Source organism: Homo sapiens, chromosome 21, assembly GCF_000001405.40.
Source record: "Homo sapiens chromosome 21, GRCh38.p14 Primary Assembly".
Lineage (NCBI taxonomy): Eukaryota > Metazoa > Chordata > Mammalia > Primates > Hominidae > Homo > Homo sapiens.
The window spans coordinates 30,700,207-30,725,975 of NC_000021.9; the positions used below are offsets into that span (position 1 = coordinate 30,700,207).

General features: G+C 35.9%; 1 protein-coding gene and 1 long non-coding RNA gene across 2 annotated transcripts; both read right to left on the reverse strand.

Annotated features, from left to right (window-relative positions):
• Nucleotides 1-3,906: 3,906 nt before the first annotated feature.
• On the reverse strand, nt 3,907-25,540 carry LOC105372773 (uncharacterized). The gene is made up of 3 exons (XR_937655.3): nt 25,311-25,540; nt 21,894-22,070; nt 3,907-7,103 (listed from the first exon to the last, which is right to left on the reverse strand). It is a non-coding gene; the product is annotated as an uncharacterized LOC105372773 (long non-coding RNA).
• On the reverse strand, nt 18,319-18,571 carry KRTAP21-3 (keratin associated protein 21-3). Its single transcript, NM_001164435.1, has one exon. It carries the CDS (start codon nt 18,551-18,553, stop codon nt 18,377-18,379), a length of 177 nt encoding a protein of 58 aa, NP_001157907.1. The 5' UTR covers nt 18,554-18,571; the 3' UTR covers nt 18,319-18,376.
• Nucleotides 25,541-25,769: the final 229 nt, after the last annotated feature.

Here is a 25,769-nt window from a genome sequence, read left to right on the forward strand (position 1 = left end):
ATGTCTTCTGCCAGATACCCTAAATCATCTCTCTCAAGTTAAAAGTTCTGCAAGTCTAGGGCAGGGGCAAAATGCTGCCAGCCTCTTTGCTAAAACATAGCAAGAGTCGCTTTTGCTCCATTTCCCAACAAGTTCCTCATCTCCATCTGAGACCTCCTCAACCTGGATTTCATTGTCCATATCATTATCAACATTTTGGTCAAAGCCATTCAACAGGTCTCTAGGGAGTTCCAACGTTCCCACATTTTCCTATCTTCTTCTGAGCCCTCCAAACTGTTCCAACCCTGCCTGTTACCCAGTTCCAAAGTCACTTCCACGTTTTCAGGTATCTTTTCTGCAGGTCCCCACTCTACTGGTTCCAATTTACTCTATTAGTTCATTTTCACACTGCCCATAAAGACATACCTGAGACTGGGTAATTTATACAGGAAAGGGGTTTAATGGACTTACCATTCCACGTGGCTGGGGAGGCCTCACAATCATGGCGGAAGGTGAAATGCATGTCTTACATTGGTGGGAAGCAAGAGAGAGCTTGTGCAGAGAAACTCCCCCTTATAGAACCATCAGATCTGGTGAGACTTATTCGCTATCACAAGAACAGCACAGGAAAGACCTGCCCCCATGATTCAATTACACTTCACCGGTTGCCTCCCACAACATGTAGGAATTCAAGATGAGATTTGGGTAGGGACACAGCCAAACCATATCACTCTATATATGTCTCAGAGTAGTTTTTAGTGTTCTGTACAACATATATATTTTTAAAAAAACATTTTGTGTTGTAGGGCATGTACATTTTTAAAAATAGATACTAAAAAGAATGTTCTCTGATTCTCTTATTATACTCTAATTCACAATGTATGAGAATACTCATTCACCCACACTTTTGCTTAATATATGAGGAAGTTTTAATTTTAATAAATGCGATTGGTGAAAATGGTTTGTTAATCTCTTAATTTGCATTACCCCATTATTGGTGAACTTGAGCATCATTTTAATTTTTCTGGATACTTGAATTTTCACTTCTTTAAATTTCTCTTCAAATCCTTTGCTTATTTGTTTTTTGAGTTTTAATTTTTTATTGCTGTAGAATATACATAACATAAATTCTACTATCTTAGCCATTTTTAAATGAACAGTTCAGTGTCATTATGTACACTCAATTTGTTGTGTATCCATCACCACTCTCCATCTCTAGACCATTTTCATTATCCCAAACTGAAACTCTGAACTTAATAAACACTAAATTACCAATTCCCTCTCCCCCAGGCCCTGGCAACTACTATTTTACTTTCTGTTTCCATGAATTTGGCTATTATAGATACCTTATATATGTGGAATCATACAATACTTTGTTTACCCATTTGCATCTGGCTTGTTTCACTTAGCATAATATATTCAAAGCCTTTGCTCATTCATTATTGAGTTGTCTTTTCTTATTATCTTTATGACTATAGATATTAGTAATATATTCTTGATTGATAAATTCCACTGCTCAAAAACCACCTGTAGTAAAACAAAGTTAGATCTATTAATTTGCAGCATCAACAAAGAGTATATAATGTGTGTGTGTGTGTGTGAGTGTGTGTGTGTGTGTGTGTTGAGGCGGTGGGAAGTTATCTTTGAGCATCACAAAAGATGGGGGAAGGTCAAGTGTTATGGACTGAATATCTGTGTCCCCCAACAAAATTTATATGTTGATATCCCGACCCCTAATGTGATGGTATTAGGAGATGGGATCTGAAGAAAGTGATTTGATTATAAAAGTGGAACCCTCATGAATGGGATTAGTGCTCTTATTTAAAAAGATTCCAGAGACCTTCCTCACTCCTTCTGCAACATGATGGTACAGCAGGAAGGCATCATCCATGAATGTGGCAGATGGCTCCTACTAAATCTGCTGGTAATGTGAATCTTGGACTTCTCAGCCTCTAGAGCTGTGAGAAATAAATGTCTGTTTTTTAATAATCTACCCAGCCTATGATATTTTGTTATAGCAGCTCAAACAGACTAAGACATCACCCGTTGAGGAAGAATATTTATAAAGTTTTGAGGGCTGATATTACATCATCAGATTGCATTGGCAAGAATTGGTATGATTTGTAAATTAGGATGTTACTGGAATATTCAATGGCTTTCTTTAGAATATATAATCTCTGTAAAGTCACTTTTAGACAAATTTGTCTGTGGTCTTATCTTAAACTATTTAAATTTCATTAAAATGGTGTTAAAACATTTTGAACTTAGTCTGTAATATACGTATAACTTAATCTGGTCATGATGTGTGTGACTCAGGATATGTTTTATAAGTTGTGATTTATGCTTAAATTCTCAGTTTTCCATACAGTGTAGCTTCCACAGGGTCATGTTTCACTCTTTAGCATAATAATTATTTGTTTATTAAATACAATAGAAATATTTTCTCAAAGTTGCTACATTAACTTTATTATGTGTTTTCTTTTAGTCAAATTATCTTATATTTTACTTTTTTCTTAAGACAATCTTTAATTGACCTATAAATTCGTAAGATATTCTTCTATGTTTTCTTTTTTAATTAAGGTGAAATTTACATAATATAAAATTAATTATTTGGAGTGTAATTTAGTGCACTGACAGTGCTGTGCAATCACCACTTCTATCAAGTTCCAAAATATTTTCATCAACCCAAAAGGAAATACCACACCTACTCAAGGGTTGCTTCTCTTTCTTCTCTTCCACAGTTTCCATATTTTGTTAATGTTTTCTAGTTGCTAAATTTTATTTTTAGAACTTTAATCTATTGGGGAATATATTAGGTTTGGTTCCGATTTTTTAATTGAATTGTAATTGCCACATTTATTACATACCAAATATTTCTTTTACTGTAAGTCCATTTCTGCATGTTCTACTTCATTCACTTCATTAATCTATCAATTCATCTTCCAAAATATAATTCCAGTCACTATACCTTTACTACATGTCTTAATATCTGGTAATACAAATCTTACCTTTATGTTCTTTTTATTAATTTTTTTGCAAATGCCTTTAAATGTCAAGGATGACAACTTTAAAAGAAGAGCTAAAAAAGACTGAAAAGCTGAGCAGAGCTTTCAGTGGTCACCAGGCACTCAATAGAAGAAAAGTACATTTGAGAATTTGCTAAAAGAGAAATTTTACTAAAAAGTCAAAGCTGTCTCACCTGATACGCCTAGAAGGCTATATCTTAGGGAAAGTGGTTAAATCAGAGGTAGAGAAAGTTTTACAAAGTGTAAAATCCGGGTTAGTTAATTTCCTGATTGAACTGAGGAAATCTGTCTTTATGCAAGCTGTTGGAAGGTAGAACTAATCATATCAGTAGGAAAAATATTATACAGTTCTTCAACAGTTTTCTAAATATACAATGTTTAGTACTCAAAAAATTACTATGAATGCAAGAAACAAGACTAAGAGAAAATAACACAATAGATCAAGACCCAGAGGCAATCCAGATAGCATAAACATCAGTTGTGATATATAAAATACTAGCGATTAATAGGATCAAAAAGTAGATGAAAAGAGTAAGAATTCTACCAGAGAATTGAAATTTATTTTTAAAATCAAGTGTAAATGTTTTAGTTCATTTTCTGTCATTTATAACAGAATACTTGAAACTGGGTAATATATAAAGAAAAGAAATTTATTTCTGACACTTATGGAGGCTGAGAAGTCCAAGGTCACTGGTCCACTTCTGGTGAGATATTCTTGCTGGTGGGGACTCTCCTCAGAGTTCCAAGGCGGCAAAGGGCATCACAAGACAGGGTGACTCAATGGGCTAGGTCAGATCTCTTCCTTTCTTATAAAGCCACCAGTTCCATGCCATGATAACCTATTAATTCATTAACCCATCAGTCCATTAATTCATAAGTCTATGAATGAATTAAGCCTTCATGAGGGCAGAGAACAACATTTATTTATTTCATAAAACATTATTATTTTATCTTCAAAATAAAAATACAGTAGAAAGGTATTAAAGCTAAAAGTTTATTCTTTTGAAACACTAATAAAATGAACAAACTTTGTACTATCAAAGGAATAGAAAAAAACAAATAAATTACCACTATTGCTAGTAATAGATATATGACAATATATTCTGCAGAACATAAATGTAATAAGAAATCATTCTAGGTAACCTTATACCAGTGCATTTGAAAATATAAAGAAATAGACATGACTTGAAAGTAATAAAAGAGGAAATACAACACTTAAATAATTCTATATCTATTACAAAAAGTGAATCTTTAATTTAAAACATCTCATAAGGTAATATCAGGCCTAAAGGGCTTCAATGGGCTATATTCTCAATCACTCAAGGGAGAAATAATGCCAACCTAATGTAAACTAAACTAGATTATAGAAAAAGAGGATAGCAATGGTCATAATAGCCTTGATTTTACTTTTCAACCTCTATTTTAGGTTCAGAGGTATAAGTGCAGGATTGTTATATAGGTAAATTGCATGTCACAGGGGTTTTGTGTACAGATTCTTTCACCACTCAGGTAATAAGCATAGTACCGGATAGGTAGTTTTTTTAAATCCTCACTCTCCTCTCTCCCTCCACCCTCAATTAGACCCCATTGTCTATTGCTCCCTTCTTTGTGTCTATATATACTCAATGTTTACTTCCCATTTATAAGTGGAAACATGCACTATTTGGTTTTCTGTTCTTGTCTTAGTTCACTTAGGATAATGACCTCCAGCTCCATTTATGTTGTTACAAAGGACAAGAAAGATCTCATTCCTTTTATGGCTATGTATCATTCCATGAAGTATATGTACCACATTCTCCTAATCCAGTCTACCACTGGTGGGCATTTAGATTGATCTGATGTCTTTGATATTGTGAATAGTGCTACAATGAACATAAACATAGATGTGTCTTTATGATAGAATAATTTATATTCCTTTGGGTATATACCCAATAATGAGATTGATGGGTTGAATGGTAATTCTGCTTTGAGTTTTTTGAGAAATCGCCAAATTGCTTCCGCAGTGGCTGAACTAATTTACATTTCCACCAGTAGTTTTTAAGTGTTCCCTGTTCTCTGCAGCCTTGCCAGCATCTGATACTTTTTGACTTTTATGTAGTAGCCATTCTGACTGTTGTGAGATGGTATCTCACTGTAGTTTTGATTTGCATTTCTATAATGATTAGTGATGTTGAGCATTTTTCATATGCTTGTTGGCTACATGTATGTCTTCTTTTGAGAAGTATCTGTGCATGTCCTTTGTCCACTTTTTAATGGGTTTTTTGTTTGTTTTTTGTTTGTTTTGCTTGTTGATTAGTTTAAGTTTCTTATAGATTATGGGTGTTAGACCTTTATCCGTTGATTAGTTTGCAAGTATTTACTCCCATTCTATAGGTTGTCTGTTTATTCTGTTGATAGTTTCTTTTGCTGTGCAGAAGCTCTTCGGTTTAACTAGGTCCCATTTGTCAATTTTTGTTTTTGTTGCAGTTGCTATGGCATCTTCATCATGAAATCTTTGCCACATCAGATGTCCAGAATGGTATTTCTTAGGTTACTTTCCAGGGCTTTTATACTTTGAGGTTTACATTTAAGTATTTAATCTATCTTGAGTTGGTTTTTGTATATGGTGTAAGGAAGGTGTCTAGTTTCAATCTGCATGTGGGTGGCCAGTTATCCCAGAACCATTCATTGAATAGGCAGTCCTTTCCCCATTACTTGTTTTTGTCTACTTGTTGAAGATAGATGGTTATAGGTGTATGGCTCATTTCTGGGCTCTCTATTCTGTTTCATTGGTCTATGAGTCTGTTTTTATACCAGTACCATGCTGTTTTGGTCACTGTAGTCTTGTAGCATAGTTTGAAGTCAGGCATAATGCCTCTGGCTTTGTTCTTTTTGTTTAGAATTGCCTTGGTTCCATATGAAGTTTTTAATAGTTTTTTTCTAATTTTGTGAAGAGTATCATTGGTAGTTTAATAGGAATAGCATTGAATCCGTAAATTTCTCTGAACAGTATGGCCATTTAAACAACATTGAATCTTCCTATCCATGAGAATGGAATGTTTTTCCATTTGCTTGTGTCATCTCTGATTACTTTGAGCAGTGTTTTGTAATTTTTGACATAGAGCACTTTCACCTCCCTGATTAGCTGTATTCCTAGAATAACCTTGATTTCAAAACCAAAGTCTTGACGCAAAGGAAGATTGCAGATCAATCTTCCTCCTCAAGATACATCCAAAATATTAAGCAACTTCTTAGGAAATTATCAAATTAACTCAAATTTGATTGTATGTAAAACAATGATATCTTTTTCCACTCATAAATTATGTAAAAAGTAGGCAGTGAGGTAAGTATTAGGAAAGTTTAGAGGAATATCGAGATCTCATACACTGTTGTTGTGTATATGGATAACACTTCTAGGTGATGATTTGACAGTACTTACTGAAATGAAAATGCATGTAACCCATGATGCATTAATTTTATGCTAGGGAACATAAACCAGAGGATTTATCACATAGATCCACAAAAAGACATTCACAACAATGTTCACCGCTGTATTGTTTATGGAAGAAGAGATTAGAAGACAATACAAGTAGCCACAGCTATGATGCATGGAATACTACAGAATATGGTGAAATGCTATGTAAGGGCTAGAAACAATTCATTAGGTGTACATGTATCCTGAGCTAATGTTAAGCTGATTTGCGTAGGTATAATTACAGCAGTTATTTATGCCAATGTCTGATTTCACTAATCAATATCCATAGCATATTAAAAATATTAAGTATTTTTACTATCACGCTTGCATCTAGCCACATGGGATGGCTTTTAAAAACATAGTCTGGCCAGGCGCAGTGGCTCACGCCTGTAATCCCAGCACTCTGGGAGGCCGAGGCGGGCGGATCACCTGAGGTCCGGAGTTCGAGACCAGCCTGACCAACATGGAGAAACCCCGTCTCTACTAAAAATACAAAATTAGCCAGGCGTGGTGGCATATGCCTGTAATCCTAGCTACTCCGGAGGCTGAGGCAGAAGAATGGCTTGAATCCGGGAGGTGGAGGTTGCTGTGAGCCGAGATCAGGCCACTGCACTCCAGCCTGGGCAACAAGAGTGAAACTCCGTCTGAAAAACAAAACAAAACAAACCACCGTAGTTTTAAGTAGAATACAGTCATGTACCACAGAGCAACATTTTATTCAATGACAGATCACCTATATGATGGTAGTCACATAAGATTACAATACCATATTTTTAGTATACCTTTTCTATATTTAGACATGTTTAGATACACAAATACTTACCATTGTATTACAGTCACCTACAATATTCAGCACAGTAATGTGCTGCACAGGTTTGTGGCCTAGGAATGATAAATTATACCATATAGCCTGGGTATGTAGTAGGCTGTATCATCCAGGTTTGTGAGTACACCCTAGGCTGTACTCACATTCTGTGTACAACCACAAAATCACCTAACAGTGCATTTCTCAGAACATATCCCTGTTGTTAAGTGACACATGACTGTGTCAGAGTGACAGTAAATACACTGTTTGTTTTAAAATGAGGATCACATTCACATCCCAAAAAACACAATGTATATTTTTGAAATATTCAAGCTATTCCACAATTATAATACATACAAGGAAGAAACAAGGAGGTAATGGGATAGAGATTAGGGATAATCTGTATAATAATATTATAAAATAAAACAGGAGAAGATATGTTAAGGGAAATATTTTTATTATTATATTTTTTGTTTGTTTGTTTGGAGACAGAGTCTCACTCTGTCGCCCAGGCTGGAGTGTAGCGGTGCAATCTCGGCTCACTGCAACCTCCGCCTCCCAGATTTAAGCAATCCTTCTGCCTCAGCCTTCCAAGTAGCTGGGACTACAGGCATGGGCCATCACACCCAGCTAATTTTTGTATTTTTAGTAGAGACAGGGTTTCACCATGTTGGCCAGGCTGGTCTCGAACTGCTGACCTCAAGTTGTCCTCTCACCTCGGCCTCCCAAAGTGCTGGGATTACAGGCGTGAGCTACCGTGCCTGGCTGGAAAATATTTTTATACTGAGCCACTAAATTAATCCTATGTATCTGAGGTCTAAAACACACAAGCCAACAAATTAATTCTTCCATTTCCATATACCTTCCTTCTTGTATTTCATTTTTGTTTTAATTACAAAAGTAATGCATTGCAAACAGATATTATTTTAATTTTTATTAAGTTAATTTCCCCATTATTCTCTATTTCTGCTAACCAATGTTGACACTTTAGGGTTTCCCTTTTCTATATGTATCCAAAACAGAATTAACACACTTTGGGTTTTTTATTTTTATTTACTTAACAAGAATGGCATTATGCAACGATTTCAAAAATTATTAACTTGTAAATACTTTCCACATAAGAAGTTGTCTGTCATCTGTTTCTCTTTTGTTGACCATCCTCAGTGGGACCTCTGTGAAGCTGAGTCAGAGTATGAAGAAAGATTGACTCGAATAGTGAAGCTATAGATGGAAAGGAAGGACTTACAGAAAAGAATAGTCACTCCATTTAGACAAGCACTAAAGTGACAAGAGAGCAGAAGCAGTGAGAAGCTGTGGGAATTACTAGGAGATTTAGATAATGACACCTTCACTTTATTAGGGACTTGCGGCAGGCTATGAATTTAATTCTCTTTAATGTTTTGGGGGAGAAACATAGCTAAAGCTTATATTTTGTCATTTATGCTGTGTTTTGGCTGTTTTAGCTGTGATGCTTGGATTGTTATTTTAGACACTGGAATCAGGGGGTTCAAAATTTATAAAGTTTACATATCCCTATTTCATTTTCTCAGTTCACAATCTTTTGCTTTATGTAGACATCATTTTCATATCAATATAAAAAGTTACAACTCATTATTTTCTATGCCTACCTAATATTGAAAAATACTGATATACCATAGCATTTGCCATCACTGTATTGTTGACCAATTATATTGGAAAAAACTAAAATGGATCAATAATATCCAGTGCTTGAGAACATTTCCCAAGATCAGCACTTTTATACCTTGCTGGTGGGAATCTGAAATACTACAAAACTGCTGGAGAGAAAGCTGGCAATTTCTACCCTATGGAAATCAAAGCACCAGTCAATAATACTTACAAGGAAGTGTATCATCACAGTGCTTTTATGCTAAATAACGTGATAAACATTTTTCTGCTGAACAATTATAGATTTGTAAGCATCATGTTATATTTAGTTGCTTCTTATTCTGGGCATATATAAAACAATGCCATATGTTTTATTCCTGTGATTTATAAGGTCAAGGACGACATCTGTTTCATTTCTACTGTGGACCACTAAGTTCCACCATTAGCACAGAAGGTGGCTTAATTAATATTACTCAAAAATAATGATAATGAAGCACACAGCAACCCTCCCTTCATCTGCTAGAGTCCATCTCCTTAACTGTGCATGAAGGGAACTAATTATGATATTTCGTGCTTTTTCTGAAGTGATGTTTAACTACAGCTTAGAAGGCAAAAATGAATGCTACAAGAGATGTTTTGTGTGACTCAAATTTTCCTCCTAATCATCCAAGTTTTACAAACCCTTAACTCTTTGTTAGAAATTTTAGATCTTTTGTTATATTTACTATATTTCATATATTTATATAAAATAATTTAGTTTTAAATTTTACTGATGCACATCTTTTCATGAATTTTGAAATTTCTACTCATAATTTAGCCTTGTGGATTCCAAACATCTTCACTAGCTTCTGAAATTGATGTATGCCTTTCTCTCCAACTTTAATGAATCCCATTTCCATGTGAGTTCATTAGGGCTCTCTTTGCTTTCTCATTCTGCTCTTCTGAGGACCCTTTATAAATTTTTTGTCCAAATAGTTTGTGTTTTTATACAGATTGTATAGTTTTATCTAGAAACAGCCTCCCAAACCTACTGAGCTGTAGGAAGCAATGACAAACACGAGAAAAGAAGCCTTAGGCCAGACAAATTCTGATTCTCTTATCTTCTGAATCAAGGCTTTCCAAAAGATAAACAAAAGCTACCTATGAGTGGATAAATATGTAAGTAGTGCTGTTATATTGAACAACTATTTTCTCAGATGAAAGGGGTAAAATTTTACTTACAATAAACATTTCAGCCAAAGATAGTATAGTTCAACAGTAAAGCCAGAATTGCTTATTTTGCCCATTTTATCCAGTTACTAACATGTTCAGTGTTTCATTTAACAAATATAAATCATATATTACCATACTCTTCACATTGTGTCCATGAGGCGTGCTATCATGCTGTAAGGGAAACAAGTATGTGCATGCAAGTAAAAGAGAAGGGAAATGTATTAGTCCATTCTCAGACTGCTAATAAAGACATACCCAAGACTGGGTAATTTATAAAGGAAAGAGGTTTAATTGACTCACAGTTACAGACAGCTGGGGAGGTCTCACAATCGTGTCAGAAGGTCAATGAGGAGCAAAGTCACGTCTTCCATGACAGCAGGCAAGAGACAGCTTGCCTCTAGGGGAATTCCATCAGATCTCATGAGTGTTATTCACTATCATGAGAACAGCATGGGAAAAACCCACCCTCATGATTCAACTACCTCCACCAGGTTTCTCCTATGACACTTGGGAATTATGAGAGCTACAATTCAATAGAGATTTGGGTGGGGACACAGCCAAACTATATCAGGAAACGAAGGGGAGAGGAGAGGAAGAGGAGGAGAGGAAAGAGGAGGGGAAGGGAAAGGAGAGGCAAGAAGGGGACGAGAAAAGAAGAAGAGAAGGAAAGAATACAAAAAGGTTAGGTAATATAATAGGCATGTTCATGGGATACTATGAAACCAGAAAACTAAAAATAGGTGAAAAATACCAATAAAGATAATTAAATCCTAATTCATGAGAAGGATTTCTTCAGGTAAAGAAAGTGGAGGAATAAACATCTGTAAAAAAAAAAAAAGTTGCCATTCAGATGTGTTCTTTATCCATTTACTTTCTTAAAAGAATATTTGACAGAATGCACAGCTGGTGACATGGCCTCACGTGTGGCCCACAGGGTGTTGACAGGCAATACCGTGAAAGGTGAACAGACAGACTGAGAAGGAGGAGGTCAATGTTGTCGCTCAGCACATGAGGAGACATGTTACACAGTCTCCCTGAAGAAGTGTATAGATTTTCTAATTAAACAGGATTTGCTCAGTGAAAATCCGAGATCATTGACTGTTAGCACCTTTACTTTTTATAGAACCACTGCTATTTGCCAGTACCCCACAACCTCCCAGGCACTCTGCAGTGTCTGAGGAAGGGCACTGGGCAAGAAAAGTTATAGGAAATGTGTTTGGTTTGTTCTTTCTATATTGTACCTTCCCTCATCAAAAACAGTCACATAGGAGAAAATTTAGATGGAGCATATTTATTTGTTAAAATCTAAGTGTCTTGAAAATAGAGAGAATAAAGGGTTTTAATATTGTTGAGGGAGCAGAGTAGGAATACAAAAGAGTAAAAAAGAAACAGAGAGAAGTTTCACCTAACGCCCTTACAAAGAAAGAAGCATGAGTTCTGTCCCTGGAGCAGCAAGAAGCTATGTACCACTCCAGGACACTAAAAAGTTAGCAAGGTCTCAAAGAAGATAGCAGAATTATGCTAAATTCCTAGCTTCAGCAAAGATTTCTGCACTCCATACTTGGCCTACACAACTTAGCCAATGGATTTCAAAACCACATCATGGGCTAATGTAATGACAAAGTCTTTCATGACCATCACTAGCAAAAATTTATGGATTTTGATGTTACCTTTGAAGTATAAGCATTACATCTGATGAGATGTAAATTATAATAAATTTACAGATGAAATTTTCTATTAGCTATTTTTTACACTATTTTTACACTATTTTTTACACTGTTTTTTTACAGATGTTTATTCCTCCACTTTCTTTACCTGAAGTGGCAATTTGGTTTTGCATTACGCAATATAAAATCAATATTAGAAGTTGTGTAAAGCCTAATTCAAACCTATAAAATGTGTGAGGCAAAATTTTAATGTTTATATTTTATTCTTTTTGTTGGATTCTCGCAGAAGTTCCTTGAGTTTTTGGTCTTAGACTGCCTTTACATAAGTATATTTTGTGTATACAACAAGATACTAAAGAATGAAACTATGAAAGCCAGTAAAACAGCTACATTTTTTCCCAGAAAGTAAGTCAAAGTATATACTTTTGAATACTCTGTCCTTTCCCCAATGTATGTTCTTGACATTTTTGTCAAAAATACATTGACTATAAATTCTTAGATTACATTCATGAATTTATTTCTGGTTTTTCAACTTTGTTCCGTTGTTCAATGTGTCTGTTTTTATGACACTACCGTGCTGTTTTAGTTACTATGGCTTTGTAGTATAATTTGAAGTCAAGTAATGTAAAGCCTTCAGCTTTGTTTTGTTTTTTTGTTTGTTTGTTGTTGTTGTTGTTGCTAAGAATTGCTTTGGCTATTCTGGATCTTTTATGGTTCTATATAAATTTTAGGATTATGTTTCTATTTCTGTGAAGAATGTAAATTAGCATAGCTACTATGGGAAAAAGTGTGGAGGTGTCTCAAAAAAACAAAAATAAAACTGCCATAAATTACAGCAATCCCACTGCTAGGTATATATCCAAAAGAAAGGAAGTTCATATAGCCAAGAGATATCTGCACTCCCATGTTTATTGCAGCACTATTTATAATAATTAAAATATTGAATAAAACTAAGTGTCCATCAAAATTGATGAATGGATTGCCTAAGCCTAGGAGTTTGAGACCAGCCTAGGCAACACAGAGAGAGACCCTGTCTCTCCAAAAAAAAAAAAACAGTGATGCATGCTTGTAGTTCCAGCCGCTTGGGAGGCTGAGGCACAGGAGGATCACTTGAACCCAGGAGATCGAGGCTGCAATGAGCTGTGATAGTCCCAATGCACTCCAGCCTAGGTAACTGAGAAAGACCCAATTTAAAAAAAGAAAGAAAACCGAAAAAAAAAGATAAGAAAAAGAAAATAAATAAATCCTAGCATTTGTAATAATATGGATGGAATTGGAGGACATTATGATACATAAAATAAGCCAGACACAAAAATACAAAAAGAGCATGTTCTCACCCATAAGTAGGAGCTAAAATAATTGATCTCAAGAGTTCAATGATGGCTACCAGAGACTGAGAACAGCGCTGGAGAGGAAGGATAAAGAAGGGTTGGACAATGAGTACAAAGATACAGTTAGATAGAAGGAATAAGATCTAGCATTTGATAGGAAAATAGGGCAATTATAGTTAACAATTATTTATTTTATATTTCGAAATAGCTAGAAGAGTGAAATCGGAATAATCTCAACACAAAGTAATAATAAATGTTTCAAGTGATGGATATTCCAACTACCCTGATTTGATCATTACACATAGTATTCATGGATCAAAATATCACATGCAACTATAAATATGTATAACTATTATGTATCCATAAAAACTGAAAATAAATAAAAAAACAAAGTATGGATTTTACTAATGGTGGGAATCACTTCGATTATTTAAAGATACATAATGGGTACAATGAAAGCTAGAGATGTCCAGGACCCCATGCGCTTGCATCCTCAATCAGCCCTCTAAAGTTCTCTAGAGAGAATGCAGATGAGAATTTTCAGGGAAATAGTTTATTACAATTTATGGCTCTGACTCCAAACTTCTGTGTGGTCTTCTTGGCATGTGTGAATCATAAAGATTACTTGCAGTTTTAGCATTGCCCCCATGACATTTGAGTTGTAGATACAGATTCCAATTTTGCCAGTGCACTGTGCTGTCTTGAATGATCAGTTCCATGTCTTATACCTGTTTGTTTTCCTAGTGCTTACCATAAGCATTCAGTTCCTGTTTGTAACTTTTCCTCGTCTCTCTACCACAAACCAACTGTTCAGCTTTGGGCGGAACATTCAAGTGGTCATTATCTAAATTGACTTATATAAAGAACGCTTTGAGGGAATGACATTTAAGGCCATCTCAAAGTTTCTCTTAAGTAATTCATTTTATTTTCGTTAATACCTTTTGAGATTTGAAGACTACTATCACATCTTTTTTAAATTACTTTTCTGCCAAGTTCTCATAAGTCAGCTTGTTAGATCATTTCTGACTTGGAGGGCCTTAAATCTTATGAAAACGTAATAATGATAGAATTAGCATCTCCATGTGGTTGTACCTCAAGCAACAGATCCTCTGTGGAAGAAGATGACCTTCAACTATGTCAGTCTGGACTGAAAAAGGATATAAGGTTAATTGAATTTGTCTGTTTGGTTTTGGTTGTTTGATTTTCATTCCCATATAGTATAGTTAAAAGCTGAGGTCTCGTTTTGTTTTGAGTCAACTCTTCTATCATTTGTCCCTTGGAGTGACTTTTTACTGCCCTCTAGCTGAAGAGGAGGCCATAATTCTCTGATGCTAGAGAGTGCGGGAACATGCCATCTGTCCTAAGAAGGGGGCATGAGTCGAAAGAACACCAAAAGTGCAGTAAGTTACAGCTGACTCATACAAAGGGAAAAGAAGAGAACAGGGATCCACAGACATAAATTTTCCAGGGAGAAAATTTGTGGCCTGGAATATATATCCCTGTGTTTCCTATGTGGTGTTCCCTTTGATAAACCATCTAACTAGAAAGGACATTTTAGAAAAAGAGAGTTAGGCACTCTGTTCTTTGAAATAAAAAGTCAGTGAAGGAGAGGAAAGTGAAGATAATGGTGAATACAAATTTCTGATTCTATTTACCATTTTCCTTTCTACTTTGCCTCCACCACAGTAATGTTTTTCCTATTATCTTATTAAAAGAACATTCATAACCAAGTCATCACAGTTGATTGTAATAATGTATGAATTAACTGTGTAATTTATATTAATATATGATGACCTAAACCATTTAGGTTTTGCATCACTTTGCGTTACTTAGATTCTTGGTACACAATTGGAAAAATATGTGTGGAATTTTAACAGACAATGGTGGGCGTGGGATGGGCTTTAACTATGTATTTTCTTACCTTAGCTGATATTTACTTCTATTCCCATTTGAAAATACTGTTTCCTCCTTGAAAAGTGCAATGTATATGATTCACCAGCAAGAAAAGCAGATACTTTTTATTGCAGCATTTTCATTGCTGTATAACTGAAGTTACACTATGGATAACACAGCAACCAGCAAATTTGTTTCCATTTATAAACTGTTAACATTACATTTTCTATTTAAAATTGAAGTTTGTATTATTGTTGTTTGATTTCACAGGAAAATTTGATATTCTAATTGATAGATGATAATTCTATACATCAAATTCTTATTTTACATATTCGTAGTTTCTAGTGAATACAAATATCAAGGAAAAATGATGTAAGACAACATAGCCTTAAGTTGATTTTATCGACAATGGAGTGCAATCACCTTGTCTACTTTTGGTCGTTGCTGTTGTTGAGAGTGAAGATTATTTGTAATGATTTAGAGTTTAAAAGGACCATATTTCTGATCTTGCATTGGTAAATAATCTCAAATGGTAATGAAATGTTTCTTTCTTTTTTTTTTTTTTTTTTTTGAGACGGAGTCATGCTCTGTCGCCCAGGCTGGAATGCAATGGTGTGATCTCGGCTTACTGCAAGCTCCACCTCCTGGGTTCAAGCGATTATCCTGCCTCAGCCTCCCCAGTAGCCGGGACTACAGGCACCACCACCATGCCCAGCTAATTTTTGTATTTTTAGTAGAGACTGGGTTTCATCATGTTGGCCAGGCTGGTCTTGAACTCCTGACCTTGTGATCCATCCGCCTTGACCTCCCAAAGTGCTGGGATTACAGGCGTGAACCACCATGCCTGGCCTCGTTTTTGTATAATCCATTTTCTCAGAGGCATTTCACCATTTTGTTGGGCTTTAATTTGAAAACACTATTGCAAAATACTCAAAAAATACAGTAATTATTTTAAAAAATCACTCAAGCAATGTAACGGTATACTCCAGTATGTCACACTCTGCTTTGCAGTCAAGATTCTAAAGTTATTACTTTTTCTATGATGAAGTTCTCAAATAGAGTTCAGTAGAGGTTAGAGGACTACATGAAGCCTATGAGTGAAGATGATACAGCACATATGTAGTGTGAGATGATGTTATCCTTTTTGTTCTTAAGTAAAATGAATATACATATTATTTTGATATATATTATTTTTTAAATAAGAAAACCAAAATAACTCCAAGTAATTTCTAACTACTAAAATTTAAAATCTCACACATGCTTCTAAGTATCTGTATATTTAGAACTAAGTAAAAACAGGCCAGGTGTGGTGGCTCACACCTGTAATTCCAGCACTTTGGGAGGCAGAGGCAGGCAGATCACTAAAAGTCAGGAGTTCGAGACCACCCTGGCCAAACATGGGGAAACTGTCTCTAACAAAAATACAAAAATTAGCCTGGCATGGTGGCAGGTGCCTGTAATCCCAGCTACTCAGGAGGCTGAGGCAGGAGAATTGCTTGAACCCGAGAGGCAGAGGTTGCAGTGAGCGGAGATCACACCACTGCACTCCAGCCTGGGTGACAGAGCAAGACTCTGTCTCAGAAAGAGAAAAAAAAAAAAAAAAAAAGTAAGAGCTAAATAAAAACAGGGAAATCCTTAGAGTTCGGTTGCTCTAGTAATTTTTATGTACTCCATGAATTCCAACAAAAGCATGAGACCAAAAAAAAAAAAAAAAAAGGAAAGAATAATAAAATCAGATGACTTAATTTGGAGGCTGCTACCTCTCAAAAGTTAGCATAGATGAAGCATTACATTGTTTGCTGCAAAACAACATACATAAGGAGTCATTTGCCAACAAAAACAAAATCCTATTATTACGTATCATGCTACATGCTAAGTATACTATCTCATTAACTATGGCAACAGTCCTCTGACATCAGTGTTTATAACCTTTTTGTTTGAATGGAAGAGGAGACTTATGAAATATGAAGATTAAGAAGTTTTCTGACACATGCACAGCTAGGAATGGGAACATTGGCATCTAATGTCACTCTCTGTTGCCCCAAAGCCTGTGCTTTTTAAGAAAGAGAAATGTTGTGACTACACTTTGCCATAGAGGAGAATTGTTTGATATCCCCATATAAATAGTCCTAGACTCACTTTATCATACATAGCAGTCTCATAGAGCAATTCCTTCGCCACCACAGGAATGGAGTCAGGAATTTTTTTTTTTTTTAGATGAGTCTCACTCTGTCACCGGGCTTTCTTAAATAATTTTATAATTATGTAACAAATATAACTGAAGAAAAAAACAACTGATTTTTGACTTTGATTTTGAGAGAGAGAAAGATATGAGGAGAAGTAGAAGGAGGAGGAGAAGGGAGAAGAGGAGGAAGAGGAGAAGTAGATGCAAGGTGATGAACAGGGAAATAGTGTAAGAATGTCATTTCTATTTCAAGTGGAATGTTAGGCAAAGTCTCCTAAGGAGTTCATATTAACCAGAATCCCAAAAAAAGTGACAGAACTGTCTATGAGAATGTTTGAGAAAAGGCCGACGGAATTAGAATTAGAATCATTGTGTTCGTGTGTGTGTGTGTGTGTGTGTGTGTGTAGCCAAGGCGGGTGGATTATAAGGTCAGGAGTTCGAGACCAGCCTGGCCAACATGGTGAAACCCCGTCTCTACTAAAAATACAAAAATTAGCCAGGCGCGGTGGCGGGTGCCTCAATCCCAGCTACTTGGGAGGCTGAAGCAGGAGAATCACTTGAACCTGGGAGGCGGAGGTTGCAGTGAGCCAAGATCGCGCCACTGCACTCCAGCCTGGGTGACAGAGCGAGACTCCATCTCGAAAAAAAAAAAAAATGTTTCAGTGATTCTCTCTCCTCCTCCCTTTTCTTTGGCTGATAATAATCTACTATTCTACACTAAGGATGATATCATTCCACTTCCTTTCTTCATTTTGTATATTTAGAAGTATATCTAATTAACAGGTACATATTTATTTAATATTAAATATGTGGTGGATACTGACAATTAAATAACTCAAGTTTTATGTAGAGTAGAAAAGATAAAGAGAAAAAGAGTTATTGAAAGTTAAGAAGAAATTTCTAAGAAGCTAAGGATCAACTAATCTACATAGTGGTCTGGCTTTCAAGGGGGTAAAACATGCCCCAAATTGGTGTTGACTCACACACGCACACAAAGAGCATTTTATATTTTTCAAAATTTCAAAATAGTCATATTTTCCATCTCTCAGTGAAACCACATTATGTCTATGACTAACAGGTACTTTGAAGACAAATGGAGTTTTCACCAGATGAGTCATTTTTCTCTAACGGAGAACTATCAGGATTGAAGGTGATTAAAGCAGAACAGATCTTTGAGAAACTAAATAAGAAACAATGCTCAATGGCATTTCTTAGAAGCAAAAAATATCAGATCATCTATAACAGAATATTTATTTTCATAACAACCATAATAACCGTTACAGCCACAGTGGGTGCTGTGTATACAGCCATACCCACAACCATAGCAAGAGCCAAATCCACAGCTCCCACACACACTTTTGTAATTGAAATACATAGTGTCAGGAGATGAGAATTCAGCCAGGTAACAGCATTTCTGGAGTTTGGAACCCTTGGGATCTTTCTATATAATAAGAGGTCTGCAAAGTGTGTGCCATCCCTACTTTGCCTTCTCATTCCCACAAGAATTTATATTTAACAAGCTTGTTGTTGTTTTATTCTGTGTCCTAAGAAAGCCTCTCATTTTAGACCTTCATTTAATTCCTGCAAGTTAATCATAGACTGTAAAAAGTAATTTGTACACTCTGTATACATGTTCTCAGTGAGCCCCAAATGTACACTCCACAAATATCATGATGCTAAATCTTGCAGGGAAGTACTTCCCTCAGCTCTAACCCAAAACATTGAGAATCCCCATCCCCAGCCTCCTAGAGAAAGGAAGGGGCTTAGTGATTCCTACCTTTTCAGGTGCCACCAGTATTACCATCCAATCCACAACTGTACTACTCAGGAGAGGATAGGCATAGGAAGGCTAAATTGAGAAACATGCGTTCAATTCTATAATATTAGAATTTATTGAGAACTTTCCTAAAAAACAGAACATGACAGTAGGCACTGCTGAAAATAACATAAAAATAAAAATGAAAAACATAAATAAGACCAAGAACAGACCTTCAATGAACTCCCAGCTTAGTAAGGAAGAGAAACATTTACACAAAAAAAGTCTCAGATTGATGCGGTTAGAGAAAAAGGAAAGAGAAATCCTATGAAATAGACCTCAAAACAATCCAGACCAGGTCCACTTAGGGCCTTCATCCATGCTGGGCTTTCACCTGCAGTTTTTACAATTTAACACCCATATCTATGACTCATTCCCTCATTGCCATCAGAGTGTGTTCAAATGTCACTCAAGGAGGCCCTCCCTGAACAGTATTATTTATAGCTAGCACCCTCCCACAGATATATCTTTATTCTCTACTTAGCATTTATCAAGCCATTTATCACCATATGATAGACTTGCATTTTACTAATTTTGTTGACTGTTTTTCTCACTGGAATATAGGATATCTGTGAAGGCAGGAATTTCTTTTTTTCTTTAGGGAATAAAATAGATTTTAAAAAAGTATAATAAACTGGGGCCAAATAATAAAGAGCTTTGAATATTAAGGTAAAAAGTGTGGAATTCATTCTAAAGGTAATGGAGAACCAGAGAAGATTTTGAGCAAATTAATGGCATAATCAGCTCAATATTTTGAGATACAGAAATCACAACCATTTATCCAGTGTACTTAGTAATGTCCTATTTCTTCGAAACCATTATTTGCTAAATTATTCTCTTGAGCAAAGATCTTTCCTTGAGCACTAGCCATGGTTGCATTGAATTTGTGGCATTTTATTTTCCAATTATGTTTCCAGGAACACTAGGACTGGGAGGTATTAAAATGTATTCCAAGAAATAGAGTTTCCAAGATTTTAAAATGTGCTATCAAACACTATAAAATAAAAACACCTTCAGAGTATTCACAATTTACATATGCGCTGTAAGTTTTACTTGCACCTAAATGCCAGGTATTGTAGTAGGAGTACAAACTGGAACGCCATGATAGCATTTTAATTATCCTTAGGAGGACAACTGTGTAAAGAAAACCAGCTTGACATTCTTCAATAAACTAACATATTTGTGTAACAAAATAACTTTTTAAGTTGAGAAATAACTTTTAAGTTCTTTTGAAAGTTATCGTCTTAGAGTATATGTTCAAATATGAAAATCTTATGAGTGTTCAAGTTTCCAAATCACTAAAGAGACTGTTGGCGTTTTTATACAGCACAAGCAAATAGGCCACATTAAGTCAAACAGGTCATCTTTTTTTTTTTTTTTTTTTTTTTTTTGAGACGGAGTCTCGCTCTGTCGCCCAGGCCGGACTGCGGACTGCAGTGGCGCAATCTCGGCTCACTGCAAGCTCCGCTTCCCGGGTTCACGCCATTCTCCTGCCTCAGCCTCCCCAGTAGCTGGGACTACAGGCGCCTGCCACCGCGCCCGGCTAATTTTTTGTATTTTTAGTAGAGACGGGGTTTCACCTTGTTAGCCAGGATGGTCTCGAAGGTCATCTTTTAAAATAACCATTGGGTAAGCAGTTTTGCCTAGATTAAACTGAATATTTTGAAAATAAACCTTTGATGGGACTCAATTACAAAATTAGTCTCAACTCAACCTAAATATGGTATTTTCTTGCCCATGAGAGTTGAAAATCTATATTTAAGATGCTCAGTGAGGATTGAATCTTAGACAATCTGAAAAAAGCTTCTAAAATTTGGTACCTGAGCACAGTGGCTCACACCTGTAACTTCACCACTTTGGGAGGCTAAGGCAGGAGGATTACTTAAGGGCATGAGTTCCAGACTAGCCTGGGCAACATAATGAGACCCTGTCTCTACAAAATAAAATAAAATAAATTAGCAGAATGTGGTGGCACATGCCTATAGTCCCAGCTACTCAGGAGGCTGAGGTGGGAGGATCCCTTAAGCCCAGGAATTTGAGGCTGCAGTGACCTATGATCAGACCACTGCACTCTAGCCTGGGTGACAGAGTGAGATCATCTTTCTAAAAAAAATGTTTTTAATTGATACTTTATTTGAACCATCTTTTGCTGCAAATTATCCGTATTATGATGTATCATGTGTTTCTTTGCATATATGTCTCATGTTACCTATTTTAATATATGCAGTCTCTTTAAAAGTGAGAACCTTGTTATTATTTTTATTTTTTGTTTTATATTTTGCTCTGTACATTCTATACCCCTGCAAGCATCTTACTTTGTACAGGGAAATTAGAACTGCAATATGTATTTTATTGTGGATTTTTTTTTCTATCATTTCATACACTTAAGTATCTGTTCCTTTTCAGACTTTTGACTTTCATGTGACTGTAAGGAATTGTGGTTGCTATTTTTCTCTTGACCCAAAAATGCTGAGTTGCTCTGAAAAGTATTTCCTAACCATATAAGAATTCATTCGTATTCTGAAAATTTGTTTCTGCTTAATTTCCCGATTATTGATGACATATTATGTAATTATTTTCAGCTTTTCATTAGTAAAAATTCACCACATTAAGTCAAATGCAAAATTTATTGCAAATTTATTCATCTTTCCCATATTTTCCCTTTCATTTTCTCAGCTAAGGTCTCATGTTAATAGCAGTGATGACCCTGTGCCACTTTAAGTAAAATTCGGAATTTGTATACCCCTAGCCTTCATTTGTAAAGTATACAACTATGTCTTTGACCATAATAGCCCTCTCTGTAAAATCACCAATAAATTTCCAAAATATGTGATGGTAAAATTAAGTTTCATATTCTTCCCCCAGCTATTTTCTACTTCTTACCAAATATACTACTGACCTTTTAGGCCCATTTTTCTTTCTTGAATCAATGGTGTTATTTCTCTACCTGGAACATCATCAAATCTGAAAATTTCCATTCCCACCTCTGAAAGTGGCTTAACTCCTATGTTCTCCATCCTCATGAAGATTTCTCTACGTCAGGGGAAAGAAAATGTGAATGTTCACATTCATTTGCCTGCAAATTTTTTTAAATAGAAAGAAGAAAATAAGCAATTTATTATTCTACTAGATATTTTATAATTCACTTTGTTAGATTTAATTTATCTCATTCTCCAAAATATTCATGTAAAAATTAAATACGGTGATAATATTAATAGAAATACCTTTAGTTCAAAGTCAGCATCCATTTAATGTTCACATTTAAATGCATATATAATTTATAAGAGTAGATTATATGCAAAAAATATTTAATCATTATAGATTTATGTAAAAATATATGTTTAATTTTGAAAAAAAGATTGTATTGAAAATAAGTCATATTTCTGTTGTGTTTTCCCTTCAGTCTCAGAAGATGAGGTATTTTTTTCTTCCTTCAAATTATTAGCTCTCCACCAACGTGGTATCCTAACTTGTTTCTACTTTTATTGCTCTATGGCTCTATCTTCATCAGTCTCTTCAAATCTACTCCCTTCTTCTGCCTACTCTTCCCTAAGAGATTTTTAATGTTTTCTTTTGCCAATGCCAGTCACATTTCTTCTCCATGGTTATCGTTGACCTCTGCTGCCACAAGGTATCATTTCCTCTACTTCCAACCCTTTTCAACACCATCCTCATTCTCTTTTTACAACTGTACCTTTCATGTGTTTTCTTCATTTATTCCTCTGACTCTACCCAAACTCTAACTAAGGAGCCCTTCCTAGATTCAATTCCTTGACTTTCTCTCTCTAAATTCTCTTATTAATTTCCCATTTGTACTCCCACTACAATGTCTGACTTACAGAAAGTGATCCATTAAAACTTAAGGAATAAATGTGTGTGAGTAAATATTTTCTCTCACATTTACAGCTTTAAATAAAAAATTAATATCAGTTACTTTCAAATTGATATGTCGTGTACTCTCCTTAAATATACAAATCTTAGCTAGATAATTTTTTTGAATGTATTATTACCTCAAATCAACATATCCAAAACCAGATACATCTCTCTGGCAAAACTAAATTTTAAAAATATTTCTCCCTGTTAATAACATTTCCTTTCTTGATGAATACCCACATTCAAAAGTACCACATTTATGCATTTGTTTATGTCACTGAAACAAATCATTTTCCATACAAAATTTTGGTATCTATTTTCTTACTCTTACTGCAACAGGCTTAATTCTGGTCCTAATCTTCTCACTCTTGGACCCCCCCACCCCAATAAGTCCTTAGCTCCAGGAACTCAATGCATCTTTCGTTTCCACACTGTCCAACCTATTCTGCACATTGTTTCTAAATTTATATTTCCTACATATTACTTTTATCATGCATTTCTTCTGCTTAATATTCTGAATCTCCTACTGTGCTAATTCTATATCCTCTGCCTGGGCTCACAGATCTCTCATAATATACCTCTTCCCCTAACCATTCCAAATCTGTTTACCACTCTAAGTCATGGTAATCATCACATTATTTGTTAAATACATTCATGTGCAAGACACCAACCATTTCCCCTAAACAGCCGATTTAATGCCCATTCTGCCTCTGTCCCCAGTGACTCTCCCACCTTGAATTTCTGATTTTCTAATCTATTAATGCAGTTCTTCCAAGCCCAGTTCATTTCCCCTTCGACAGAAGCTTTCTGCAGTTCCCGGAGTCCTCATTATCTTCCTTTCCTATGAACTCCTGCCAGTCTTTTCATCTGTGACACATAAGCTGTTATATCTCAAGTTTTGTTCTTTTCTACAAATAGGTATGTTAGTCTTGATCTTCCAAATGGATGGTTAGTTCTTTGATCTCAGCAACTATTCTCATCTACACAACACTATCATGGTGCTGACCAAACACATATTAAGTGCTCGATAAATCCCTGTTGATCACCTACTGAACCCAGGTGAAAAAATATATTTTCCATTAATTCATTTGCTCCACTGCAATTTTTAAGAGTTAGAGTTTCTAAAAGTGGAGTGTATGGATCAGCAGTTATCAGCATCACTTGGGAATTTGTTAAAATTGCAGATTTTGAGGTTCTACCCAAAACCTACTAAATCAGAAGGTCTAGGAGTAGGACCCAAAAACTCTATGTTTTTCAAGCACTCTGGTTAATTTAATACACACTATCATTTCAGAACCACTGCCATAGATCAATCGTCTTGTCCTCATAACAAGGTCTCTAGATAAAATAGCAGTGGCCAACACAAAAGGTTAATGGCTTACTGAGCTTTTATTTTTGAGGACATTCTGACCTGTTTAAAACCAGACAAGTGGTGATTAGCAGTGTACTTTCTGTGATTCACAAAGCTTAGACAATAATGGAAACAGGCTATTTGAGCAATCAGTTATCTAAATGAATCTAAAAGGTTTTGCTGTGAAGGTTAATATTCCATGTTTTATCTAACATTTGCCTTGTACCCTCCGCCAAAATTGGTTTAATGTGCAGTTCTGAAACTGGAATCTAAAGTGCAGAGGTTATTGTGGAAAGCTCAATCATCTAGCTGCTACATAAGTCTGAATATTTGTAAAGGTTTTAGAACCCAAATGTTAGATTTTAAGTTTATCATCCACCATCTTTTATGCATATCTTACCAGCTCTGAATAGGGGTGAGATAAGGAACAGAGATCACAGACTCGAGCTGAGGACCCTAGAGAGACTATCTCATGCTCAGGTTTAAGAGAAATTCAGGGGACTCAATGTTGATCTGTATTCTGTTCAGGGGACAAAGTTACCCAAAGGGAAGCCATAAACCCCAGGGCCTTAGCAGTTAATCTCACTTCCACCTAGTTCAATGGTGTGTTACGGTCCTCCCAAGAAAAAATAACAGTAGGATGTGTGTGTCTACATGTAAGTATGTGTATACACATACCTACAGGATGCATGAAGGAAATACATACATACACACACACACACACACACACACAGAGAGAGAGAGAGAAGGAAGAGGTGGAAGAGTGAGGGAGAGAGAGGCAAAGAGGAATGAGAGAGAGAGGAGAGAAAGGGAAAGAGAGGGAGGAGAGAGAAAAAAGAGGGAGAGTGAGGGGGAGAGAGAAAGAGGAGAGTAGAGAGGGAGAGAAAAGAGAGAGAAAAGTGGGGAGGGAGAAAAGGAGGAGGAGTAGAGAGGAGAGAGGCCAGAAGGGAGATAAGCGGGGAGAGAGAGAAGAGAGAGAAGCAAGGAGAGGGAGAGAAATTGGGGGACAATAAAGAGAGAGAGAGAGAAAGGGAGGGAGGGATACAGAGAGACAGAGCGAGAGAAGAGGCAGATTTTAAAGCATTGGCTCACATGATTGTAGGGGCTAGCAAAATCAAAATCTGCTGAGCAGGCTGGAGACCCAGGGAAGAGCTGATCTTGCAACTTGAATGTGAACTCAGGTTGAAGGCAGATTTCCCTCTTCCTCTGGTAGACATCACCCTTTTCTCTTAAGGCCCTCAACTGCCTGGAGGAAGCTCACCCACATTATGGAAGGTACGTGACTTTTCTCAAGTCTGCTGATTAAATGCCAACCTTATCTGAAAAATATCATCATAGCAACCTTTAGACTGGTGTTCGACCAAACATTTGGTCTTTGTAGCTTAGCCAAGTTGACGCATAAAATCAGTCATCAACCGTAAGTCAGAAGCTGAACTGCCTGAATCCTCAGTCATTGTTATAATTTGCATTCTCCACACAAATTTAACTACAGAGATACTTTTGAACTTTAATCTCAATCAAATGGAAAGTACACATTTCCAGGTGGAAGAA

Coding starts and splice junctions, on each gene's coding strand:
- KRTAP21-3 (NM_001164435.1), bottom strand. CDS start 18,553: ATGTATTTCAATTACAAAAGTGTGTGTGGGAGCTGTGGATTTGGCTCT.